This window comes from Homo sapiens, chromosome 8 (assembly GCF_000001405.40).
Source record: "Homo sapiens chromosome 8, GRCh38.p14 Primary Assembly".
NCBI lineage: Eukaryota > Metazoa > Chordata > Mammalia > Primates > Hominidae > Homo > Homo sapiens.
Genome location: NC_000008.11, coordinates 31,398,577 through 31,411,319, shown reverse-complemented (window position 1 = coordinate 31,411,319; position 12,743 = coordinate 31,398,577). Strand labels below are relative to the sequence as shown.

Sequence of the window (12,743 nt, the reverse complement as noted above, 5' to 3'; positions counted from 1 at the left end):
ACATACAATAAACAATAAACATATATGAGTAAAGTATATAGTATGTGAATAGACAACAAGTAGCAGAGAAATAAGAAAAAAAATAGAGCAAGGGAAGGGAAATTTGGAAAAGCAGGGAGGTAAAATGGAAGGCAGGTTGCAGTATCAGAAAGGGTGGTCAAGGAAGGACTCATTGAGAAGCAAGGTTTGGGCAGACATTTGAAGGAAGTGTGAGAGAATATTGAAGAGACATACAAGGAAAAGAATTCCAAAGAGTGTATATATGTGTATATGTGTGTGTATATATATGTGTGTGTATTAATGCGCATTAAAAGAAAAATAATAGCAGAGAACAATGGTGAGTTTGAGGATCTGGGGGCTGATCAAAGAAAAGACAGAAAGATAGAACAAGAAGGCAATATTGCACAACGCAAGCTTTATTGGACAGGATTGCAGAAAAGGGAAAGTCCTCACAGCAGAAGACGTCCCAGAGACACCCAGAAGAAGAGGGCAAGGGAAATTCCAGGGGAGACGGGGATCGGTGAGGGGGCACATGTGTCCAGGTGGTATTGCCCAGAAGCAATACAGGGAGTCTCTGGCTCAGAGAGCTCAAAAGGGCTGCAGCAGTTTGGGGTCTTCTACAGCTACAAGGTTTGTCTTCTCTGTGGCTAGCAGATGTTAAATGCAATTGTGTAGAGGATGCAAAGCAGGTGAGCTGTAAGTGGCTGAAAATATGCTTATTTGGGCTACCTTTAAGCAATTGGCTGTGAAAGAATTTGCGTTTGGCCCTGGCAGGTTCTGAGCTAACCATCCTACTGTGCTGTGAATAAGCAAACAATGTAGGGGCCAATAAACAGGGGCCATTTTTCACTCATTTCTATGACAAATATTCCTTTCAAAGTCTTAAGTTATGAAAATTAAAGCATCTGATACTACCCAGTAATCTAGAACCAAACAAAATGGACTGTATTCATACGTGTTATATAAATCCATTATCATAGGAAAGAAACACTATACCTCAAAACAGCTTTTTTTATTCCTGTAATAATTTTATACATGTCCATATATTAGTTTGTATCACTCTGCATTTTAACTACAGTATTGGTTGATATGTCTTTATTTCCTACTATACTGTTAACACTTTAAAAACAGCAACTTTTTCTGGCTCTTCTTAGTGCCCCAAGAACCTAGAATGAGTTTCCGGTACATAATGGACACCCAATTAATATTTCTTAAGGGTGAATGAAGGAAAATAAAGAATAGAATTATATGATACCCTCAAGTCCTGACTTGACCACTACACAATCTATGCATGTAACAAAATTGCATTTGTACCCCATACATTTAAACAAATTTTTTAAATGAATAGAATTATAACATCTCTCCAAGTCCACAAAGAAATCAAGAATAATTCTATGTAATCCATATTTATTTTCAGGTTGTATATCCATTTTTAGCTTTATTGTTCTAACACATAAAAACAATCTTCACACATATGTCAAATCAGTGAATAAACTAGCAACTCACCCATATTTTTAAAACATAATTTAATTATTAAGAAATATTCATTAATTCCATCCCAGTTATTTTTGTGGATGGCTGAATCCCTAAATGGAATAATATTAGTTTATAACTTAAAATGACCTGGGTTGCAATTTTAAAACTACTCACTAAAAGTGGTTTAAATATTGGAAATTTATGATCCCACACAAGTAGGAGTCTAAAGGCAACTGGCTCAAGTTTGTCTAATTGACTGCTCAACATATCTGGGCTCTAGTTTTGCTTCTCTATAATGTTTTTGCTTTTCTTTTGTGGTACAAGGTGGCAGCCACACTTCTGAGCATCATGTCCTTATACAATAACGCTCAATGGCAGAAAGGGAGGTAGAATTTCTCCATGGGTCGCTCTCTTTGTTAGGGCAAAATAGTTCTCCCAGAAGGCCCCCTTATGTCTTGTTGGCTAGAACCTGGTGCTGTTTCCACTTCAAAGCAATCACCCACACGAGGAACCTGACTTCTTCCATCAAAAAGTTGGTGGGACCAGACACGGTGGCCCAAGCCTGTAATCCCGACATTTTGGGAGGCCAAAGTGGGAGGATCACTTAAGCCCAGGAGTTCAAGACCAGCCTGTGCAATATAGCAGGATCTCATCTCTACAAAAGTAGAAAAACTTAGTCAGGCACCCTGGCTTATTCCTGCAGTCCCACACTTGGGGAAGCCAAAGTGGGAGGATTACTTGAGCCTAGGAGTTCAAGACCAGCCTGGGCAATATAGCAGGATCTCATCTCTACAAAAAATAGAAAAACTTAGCCAGGCATGGTGGCTCATGCCTGTAGTCCCAGCTACAAGGATCGCTTGAGTCCAGGAAGTGAGGCTTCAGTGAGCTATGATTGTACCACAGCACACCAGCCTGGGTAACAAAGCAAAACTCTGATTCAAAAAAAAAAAAAAACACATGGAGAAGAGGAAAGAATTAGTGGCTCCAGTTCTACTAAGAGGTACTAAGATGATGCATTTGGAAATGCAGGGAGGTAAAACGGAGGGCAGTTTGCGGTATCAGAAAGGGTGGCGAAAATCCTTGGACAGAATACATAAAGTGAGCATCTGGAGGCTGATTAGTAAATAATAGCAGGCATATTTGGGAAGAAAATCAAATCCTGAAAGTAACCCAGAGGGCAGTGAATTTCCTGACATCTTTTCATTCCATATCTTCCAGCTTAGACTGCAGGGCAATGCAAATCCAGGAACTGCACAGCAACTGTGGGCAGAAAAGGTTCCCAGAGAAATCCTCTGTTTCTAACCAGAAAACCTGAAAGAAGGGCCCCCGTGGGATGGAGGATCTGTGGGCAAATCCTCATTTTTTTTTCCTCTTTTTGTTCTCCCTGCCCTAGACTGAAGCAAGTCCCAGTCATGAAGCTGCATTCTCAAGGCAGCAACATAGGCGGATACAGCACTAGGCACACAGCAATGTGAGGCATGAAACTGAAAGAAAGTACTTCTCTCTGACCCGAATAACTAAGCAAAGAGGTCCCTGTGGTCCTGTGTTCTCCTAAAAATTTTATAGTCTTACAGTGAATACTTAGAGCTATGAGTCAATTAATTTTTGGTATGAGGGATAAAGTTGAGGATGCATGTCTCCTTTTGCATGTGAATGACAGATTGTTCCAACACCATGTGTTGAAAAGACCACCCTTTCTCCATTGAATTATTTTACACTTTTATCAAAAATCAAATTACCATATTTGTGAAGGTCTATTTATGGGATATCTTTTCTGTTCCATCGATCTATGTGTCTATCCCATTGCCTTGATTACTGTTGCTTTATAGTAAGTCTTAAAATCTAGTAATGAGATTCCTCTAACTGTATTCTTTTTCTAAGTTGTTTTAGCTATTCTAGTTCCATTGCTTTTGCATATAAACTTTAGAATCAGCTTGTCTTTATTTACAAGAAAAAACTTGCTGGGATTTTGATTGGTGTTGCATTAAGTCTATAGATCAGTTGAGGGAGAATTGACATCTTTACTCTCTTAAGTCTTCTAATCCATGAATACCATGTGTCGCTCCATTTATTTGTCTTCTTTGATTTCTTTCATCAGCGTTTTGTGGGTTTCAGCATACAGATCTTATGCATGTTTTCTTAGATTTATACCTAAGTATTTCATTTTTTGGAGCTATAGTAAATGATATCATTTTCAGATTGTGGTTTCCGATTGTTACCAGTTTATGGAAAAACAGTTGGTTTTGGGTATTGGCCTGTGTCCCGCAATTTTGATAAACCTACTTTTCATTCTAGAAGCCTTTTTCTAAATTCCTAGATTTTATAAATGTTCATGTTGTCTGCAAATAGGGGCAGTTTTTTTCTTCTTCCAACCTCCATGCCTTTTATTTCTTCTTATTGCTTCAGTGGACTAGTTAAGACATCTAGTGCTGTAAATTATAGGACTGGGGAGAGTGGCGTTCCTGCTTTGTTCTTGATTTCAGAGAGTAAGAATTCAGTCTTTCAGCATTAAAAATGATGTTAGCTATACAGTTTTTTTATATGCCCTTTATCAGGCTGAGGAAGTTCCTTCTGTTAGTAGTTTGCTGACACTTTTCATCATGAATGGCTGGTGAATTTTTCACATGCTTTTTCTGCATCTGTCGATATGATCAAGTGGCTTTTCTTTACATCATTAATATGATGAGTTACATTGACTGAATTTTTTTAGTATTGAACCAGCATGACATGCCCATGTAAGCCTCACTTCACTGTGTAGTGTTTTTTTGTTTATTGTTTTTGTTTTTGTTTTTGAGATGGAGTCTCACTATGTCACCCAGGCTGAATGGCAGTGGTGCTATCTCAGCTCACTGCAACCTCTGCCTCCCAGGTTCAAGTGATTCTCCTGCCTCAGTTTCCCAAGTAGCTGGGATTACAGGCACACCCCCATACCCAGCTAATTTTTGTATTTTTAGTAGAGACAGGGTTTCACCATGTTGGTCAGGCTGGTCTCAAACTCCTGGCCTCAGGCAGTTCCCCAACCTCGGCCTCCTGAAGTGCTGGGATTACAGACATGAGCCACTGCGCCCAGCCTAGTATTTTTACATATTTTAATTTAAAAATATTAAAATAAAAATTTTAATATTTTTAAATTTTTTAATTTTAATTACTGCACCCAGCCTAGTAATTTTCAACTTTTTAAATAAAAAGTTGAAAATTGCTATATTCAACTTGCCAATACAATAGTCTCCTCTTATTCATGGTTTCACTTTCTACAGTTTCAGTTACCTATGGTCAGTGGTGTTCTGGAAATATTAAATGGAAAATTCCACAAATAAACAATTCACGCATTTTAAATTGCACACCACTCTGGATAGCATGACAAAATCTCACACCGCCTGGCTCTGCCCCACCAGGAAGGTGAATCCTCCTTTTGTCCAGGGTATCCATGTGTCTGTACCCTCCCCCACACCTGTTACTCACTCAGGAGTTGTCTTATTTATCAGACCAACCATCATAGTATCCAGTATTGTGATGCTTGTGTTCAAGTCATTCTTAGTTTACTTTGTAATGGCCCTAGAGCACAAGAGTAGTGATGCTAGCCATTCAGATCTACCAAAAAAGAAGCCATCAGTGCCTCCTTTAAGTGAAAAGGTGAAAGTTCTTGACTTAATATGGAAAGAAAAAAAATCGTATGCTGAAGTTACTAAGATCCATGATGAAAACTAATTTTCCATCTGTGACTTTATCTGTTGTGAAGAAGGAACAAGAAATTCATGCATAGTATATATAGGGTTTGGTATCATCTGCAGTTCCAGGAATCCACTGAGGGTCTTGGAAAATATCCCCCACCAATAAGTGGGACTAATGTATTTTGATGTGGATAGATATGTCCATGAGGGATAATGACATAACATTTTTCTTTTGTCATGTCTTTGATTTGGTTTTAAGTTAATTCAGGTCTCATTAAATGAGGTTTATGTGGTTATTTAAATGGCTCAATTAAAATCCACCATCTTGCTAGCTGTTTTATATTTGTTCTATCTATTCTTTAGTTTCTGCTCTCCTTTTCAGGCTCTTCTTTTTTAATTGAATGTATTTTATTATTCCATTTTATCTTAATTATTTTTATTGGCTGTCTTAGGTTTTAAAATATGCGTCTTTAATTAACAAGAGCCTACCTTCAAATAACATTGTTTCCTGTGCTATGTAGGGACATCACAATAGTTAGTCCCAATTCCTCCCCCCCATTAATCGTACTATTGCTTTCATACCCTCTACTTTTATATATACTGTAAACACACAATACAGTGTTACTGTTTTTGCTTTAGAAGTTATCTTTTAGAGCAGATTCTCTAAACTTCAGCAATATTAATATTTTGGACTGGAGAATTCTGTTTGTGTGAGTCTGTCCCATGTATAGTAGGGTGTTCAGCAGCATCCCAGACCTTTACCTACTAGCATTAGTAGCACCACCCCGGCTGTGACAATCAAAAATGTCTCCAGACATTGCCAGTGTTCCCATGGGGAAGAATCGTAATGGAAAGGGATCTCCTGGGGTTCAGAACCATTGTTTTAGAGTAATTAAGAATATTTAGAAAATTAATTTAATTTTACCTTCATTATTTCCATTTTCACCACCTACTACACCTATACCTAGGCAAGTATAGCTAATATTTATTATAGTGTGAAAGAATTTTACAGAGTAAGAGAACTAAAAAAGGAATAACATAGGGGACTGAAGGTATGGTTTTTGAGGAAGAACTCTTTTCTCGTTATGTCCTTGAATTACAAACACAAAACACTAAATAGAAAAGTTTGAGGGGGTGTCAGGTGCAGTGGCTCACACCTGTAATCCCAGCACTTTGGAAGGCCAAGGCAGGTAGATCACTTGAGGTCAAGAGTTTGAGACCAGCCTGGCCAACATGGTGAAACCCCCCGACTCTACTGAAAATACAAAAATTAGCCAGGCATGGTGGCACACACCTGTAATTCCAGCTACTCAGGATGCTGAGGCACAAGGATCTCTTGAAGCCAGGAGGCAGAGGTTGCAGTTAGCCGATATCACACTCCAGCCTGGGAGACAGAGTGAAACTCTGTCAAAAAGAAAGAAAAGAAATGAAAAGAGAAGAGAAGAGAAGACAGAAAGGAAGGGAGAGAGAGAGAGAGAAAAGAAAAGAAAAGTTGAGGGAAAGGGCTCTAGGTGAGACAGCTTTAGGGTAGTCAGTATCTTAAAGAAAGAATGAAATTTATTTCCTCGTATAGGTCTACATTGCAGTCTGATATATTATTTTTTTCTGCCTGAAGAACATCTTTTAATATTTCTCATACAGTAGGTCTGCTGAAAATGAATTCTCACCATTTTTGTGTGTCTAAGAAAATCTTTATTTACCTTGAGTTTTTAAGGTATTTTCACAAGGTGTAGAATTTTTGGTTAACAAATACTTTTCTTTCAGCACTTTAGAGTTGTTGCTCCATTGTCTCTGGCTTGCATAGTTTCTGACAAAAAGTTTACTGTAATTCTTTGCACCACTGTACCTTTGTTCCTCTTTATGTAATGTTTTGTTTTCTCTGACTACCTTTAAGATTTTGTCTGTTTTTTTGGTTTTATGCTATGCCACAGCATGTGTATGTAGGGAGAGGAGTGAGTGTTTTTTGTTTTTTTGTTCTTGCTGTTCTCTGAGACTCCTGGATCTGTGGTTTGGTTTCTGTCATTATTTTTTGAAAATTCCCAGCCATTATTTCCACAGATATTATCTTCTGAACTGTCTCCCTTTCTTCTCCTCCTTTGATTCCAATCACACATATGTTGGGAAACTCGATATTGTTCAACAGCTCTTGGATGTAACAGGAAGTTATGATGTTGGGAATACAGTTTGAACCTCCTCATCCTCCCCTACACCTATACAATGGCAAGTATAGCTAATATTTATTATGGTGTGAAATAACTATTACACAGCACCAAAAAAAGGAGTAACATAGGAGACTGAGGGCATGGTTTTTGAGGAAGGATCCTTCTCTTTTTATGTCCTTGGATGGCAAACAAAAACACTAAACAGAAAAGCTTGAGGGAAAGAGCTCCAAGTGAGACAGCTCTGGGGTAGTCAGTACCTTACTCCTGATTTCTTAGAAAGCAGAGCCTGAAGAAAGAATGAAAGGGTTGACCCTTTAGTTGGGAAATGAAAGGCTAGAAGAATGAGGGTTAGAGGAGAAAGAAGCAACACAAGGGCCAGGATGCAACCATGTCTGCCCAGCTCTCAGGACTTCTTAAGAAAATGTGCAAATGAAATCTCACCTTGGAGTAGTCCTTGAAAGAAAGAAGGAAGCGAGGACTTCTGTCTTTCATTTTTCTTTTATCAAGTTTTACATGCAGGGAGCTAATCACTCCTCACACACACTTCTGGATTGTGTCATTTAATCCCCTGAGTACCACTTGAAAAAGCAGGTCCTAAACTCCAGAATGTGGCCTTTCACCCACATCCAGAAGGAGACAGGCTAATCAGCATAGCTATTACACCAATATGTAAAGAGAAAGGTGGGTGGGAGGCAATCTGAGAAGGTAGACATGGTTTGTATTCAGCATTGTCTGCTTGAAGTTTGCCTTGGCTCCATCCCTGATGGCTGCTGGCTTGGCTGACCTGTTTGGTTACTACCGCATCCTCTCAACCCATCACTGACTCAAGCCCACCTTCCCAAGTAATAATCCTCCCCTAGACCTAATGTGATGTTGTCTTCCACCAGCCTCCAGTTAGAAGCAACCTATCATCTGTTACTTATTTTTTCAAGGCACTTAAAGTTGTTTCTGCTAGCCAGCCAAATTTTCTAGGAGTAAGGTTCCTGTGTTCAGGCAAGTAAAAACTATTTAGATTTCTATTCTGAATATTCGGGTTATGCACTTAATTTGACAAACATTAACTTAGCATCTACTCTCTGCCAGGAACTACTCTGCATTCTGAAGAATGCAGAAGAAACAAATTTCTTTTATCTCCAAGTCCCCTTCTGTCTCATTTCTGCTGTTTACATTTGCTCTATTTTATTGCTCCTGAGCAGGTCCAAAAGAAAAGGAGGAAATGGAAGTAAGATTCATTTCAAAGCAACAGACAGCTTTTAGGATAGTTCTAAAGAAAGATTGCAATATGCAGCTAAAACTGGTCTCTAAATTACTGCTGTTTCATTAACCCTATCTCCTATCACCCATGGGAAACAGAAAGTAGACTGCTGCACTTTGATGAGAAAGTACTTGTACAAATAATCTGAATAAACTTTATCTTCACTTTACTGTACAAATTATGTTAGATCCAGGACTGAAGAATAAGCTAATCTGTTGATGTATCTTTAGAGAAAATAGGGTTTAAAATGTAGCTGGTTGAGAGCATCAGGAAGAATAGTTAATGGGTGCTGGGTTTAATACCTAGGTGACAGGAAGATCTGTACAGCAAACCGCCATGGCACAGGTTTACCTATGTCACAAACCTGCACATCCTGCATATGTACCCCTGAGCTTATAATAAAAGTTGAAGGAAAAAAATAATTAAATAAAACTCATCCATGTGGGGGGCAGCCATGGAAGCTTCTGATTGTGGTTCTGCCCCCCTTTATCTTGAGCTCTCCAAGGTTCTGACCTGACTCTCAACCAACAACCAGCTTCCCTGTGAGCACGTGTGTGTGTGTCCTTCTAAAAGAGTTTTTTTTTTCATTGATTTGCATAATAAAATCGATCAGTCCATTCCCTGGCTTACAGTTAATAAAATCTTCTGACAACTAAAAAAATTAAAAATTAAATAAAATGTAGCTGGTTGGTATTTGATCATTCATGTCACTGGCCTTGGTAGTAAAATGGGAAAAGTTCCCTTGTGCCCCTCACAGGGTGTGCCACAGGGAGAGTGGCTCACTTCTCTGGTGCCCCGCTGCTCAAACCTCAAGGGGGAGCATGCAGACGGGCAGGCTGTGGGGCTCCAACCCCACAGCAGTGTCTAGGGGTGAATGTTTACAGCTCCTGAAGCCCCAGTGGGCATGTGTTACAGTGTGCTCTTTCAGTTTAGCTCTCTGTAGGCGGCTTGCATTAGTCAGCTCAATTAGACCCTTTGCCTTATCGCAAGGACAGAGGGCTTTCTGTATCCCAGGGTTCTTGCCTTGGTATACCAGCAGAATCAGATCACACATGGGCTTGGAGAATGAGTGCAAAGATTTTAGCGAGCGGAAGTAGCTCTCAGCAGATGGGGGAGCCAGAAGGGAGATGGAGTGGGAAGGTGGTTTTCCCCTGGAGTCGGCCACTCAGCAGTGGAGCTCTCTCCTTCGACTGCCCCAGCCAAACTTCACCTCGTCCTGCTGGTCAATAGCCTGCTGGCCTGCCGGCATCTGTTGATGTGCTCTTACGCCAGAGCATTCCCCTCAATGCCCAGCCACTTGTATCTTATTCTGCTGGTGTGTTCCTCTCGACATCCAGTTGCTGTGTGCTTGCTAGCTAGGGTATTGGGAGTTTTTATAGGCACAGGAGAGGGGTGTGGTAGGCCAGGTTGGTCTTGGGAAATGCAACATTTGGGCACAAAAACAGAAATGCCTGTCCTCACCTAGGTTCATGGGCACAGGCCCAGGGGTGGAGCCCTAGCCAGGGACCACACCCTTCCCTTCCCAGCACTTCCCTCCCCAACTCCAGTATCAGTAGGTAGTATCAAACTACCTAGATGAATGAGTAACATAGTTATTTACCAGATTCTGTAGCTATGGAAAATATAACTTGATGCTGAAAAGGGTTGTTTTATTTTATTTTCTGTGAAGCCACAAATATCTAAGATGTCTAGATTGTTTTCAGTCTGGTTGTCAAAATTCCTTCAAAGATCCATTTAACAATGGTGATTCACTTGTAAGAGTATTTTGAAGTGGAGGTGCTTGAAAGTAGTGAGACTAGATGTCAAATTAAGATGGCAGGTGGCTCACAGTTCCTGACTTCCTTGCTCACAAATTGTCTAAGAAGGTTAAAAATAAAAAGCACTACATCAAAAACTAAGAATATCAATCCATGATTTCCCACACTCTGAGAAAGAATTATATTCAGACTTCTACGTGAGCAATGAGACCAGCAAAACAAATGGTTATCTATGTGATAATGCACAATACAAATAGTTAAAAATAAAGACACCAAAATCTTGCACTGGGTGAATGACTTGATTATTGTTACTACGTGCAAGCCAAAATACCATGAAGACTCATCACTAAGACCAAAGAAGTCTCTGTTGAGATTCGAAAACTATACCATTGAAAAGGAATTTTTTACCAGTTTTCTGACCAATGGAAATAAATTGAGAAGCATAATATATGGCTCACCTGCACTATGCCACTAAAAACCAAGGAGGCCACTTGTAAGGCTATAGGCAACCTGTTTGTGGGGTTAGCAGGGATTGGTTTTATGGAACTAGTTAGACTTGCATATTAGGGTCCAGAGTTTGGGTGGGCAGGTTTCTTACCTGATAATGTCTGCCATTGGTTGGTGACCAACATTCTAGATCTTCTCTTCCCCTACAGTCTGTTTCTTAGATGAGGCTAAGAGAATGGCATGCTATTCAGAGGTGATAAGAGCCAGACCCTTCTGTAAATAAAAAGGGAAAAGTTCTGTTCCTCAGTGCAACAAAGTAGAAATCTTATCCAGGGTCTGGGGACTTCAGATGCAGGAAAGAAGAGGTTTTGGAGACAATGACAGAAGAAAAATCACATCTTCTGTGCACTTAGGGATATGCTCTTGGAACACACAAAAGGCAAATATCAATAACAAGAAGACTGTGTAAGTTTGCTGGTCTGGAGACATACAGAAATACGAAGAGTGTTTAGAGTTAGAATATACAAGGTCCTGATGTGGGACACCCCACCACTTGCATGGAAGTTAAATCTGTAACCCTAGAAAAAGCCCACAATCAATTGAAAAATGGGAATCTAGGAACACAGGAGTTAGCAGTCTGAAAAAATAAATTGGGAAGTTGTAAATATATGAGGCAGTCAATAAAATAAGGAAAACCTCCTCAGAAAGGTCTTTATGCTTATAGTTCCCTACCACGAACTCTAAGAGAGGAGGCAGCTTGCCTGGCGGGTAAATGAATGTTTTTCCAAAATATGTAAAGTTTGGCATCACAATGAACCTATTGATGGGAGAGTTCTCCTTCGCTTAATTTAAAAGTCGTGGAACCAAAACAACTTGACTGTTAGGCTAATAAAGCTGAAACCATGAAATATTTTGGGTTGTTTTTTCCTTTTTTGTTAGCTGTTTTCTCTGCCCATCCCATTCTATAGACAATAGAAAATATTGGCTATGGTCTCTGACTGGTCACATTTAGAAAGGTTCCAGATCAGTAGTTGTCAACTTTGTTGTTTTTGTGGCACATTTTTTGAATGCTATAATTTTTGGCAGTCAAAAAAATACTAAAGGCAAACAAGCCAGGAATAATTATAACACAAATACTACTAGAGAAAAGCAGCATCTCACACCCTTTGGAAGCATCTAGTTACTGCACTGTCCATGAGGTCACTCTTCTATACCATGCTAGTTTTAAAAGATAACCCTCAGTATAGCCAGAACCACACTGTCAGAAAGCAAAGCCCTCACATGTTCCTTTGAATGCTTAATTTTTCTTTGACACCAGTGGGCAGGGTACCACACTTTATGCCCCTTAGTTCCAAGTTGGAGCTCCTACTCTACAGCCTGTTGTATGACCTGCTTAGCTCAGTGTTTCATCCAGCAGACAGCAGCCTTTCAAGACATATTCATGGTTCCAGCAAAAATAAGTCAAATGCTCGTAGTACAACAGTGTAACACAGCACAAGGCTTAAGAATGTCTGTTCTAAGTTTATGCATTTTGCTCAAACAGAAACAAGGGTTGGGCCCAGCAAAAAAATAAAAATTAAAAAGAGAGAGAGACTTGGGGTGGTTGGCAGAGATGAGGAGCTCTAGTCATTATGCAAAAGTGCTCCTTCTTTGGTGCACTTCCTAAAGGATTCATCTTTCTATGATGTTGGCCAGGAATCAGAACTAAAGAAGACTGCTCCAGACATATCCATGGAAGAAGGAACAAAATACGGCCCATGCTAAAGGTGGGCCCTATTTTTAGCCTAGGGCTAAGATTCTCTATGAGTATTTGAATCTAAAGCCTTAGCCTAATAGCAGGGAGAGTTTCTTTGAAAACCTGCAAGAACACTGGGTGCTGATAGAGGATGTAGGGATTCAGGATTCAAGTCAATCGATCCTCTGGATTTCCACCTTGTGAAAATAACTAGTATATTGCAGAAAACTGCCAACTAAA

The 12,743-nt window shown here is 39.7% G+C and overlaps 1 long non-coding RNA gene across 4 annotated transcripts in view; it reads right to left on the bottom strand.

Annotated features, from left to right (window-relative positions):
• LOC101929492 (uncharacterized) overlaps positions 10,197 to 12,743 on the bottom strand; it is a 126,333-nt gene continuing 123,786 nt past the window's right edge. For all 4 annotated transcript variants that reach the window (XR_949649.3, XR_247156.3, XR_247157.3 and 1 more), the window contains 2 exons: positions 10,920 to 11,041; positions 10,197 to 10,421 (listed from right to left, as the gene is read on the bottom strand). This is a non-coding gene — a long non-coding RNA (uncharacterized LOC101929492). The remainder of the gene's footprint in view (positions 10,422 to 10,919; positions 11,042 to 12,743) is intronic.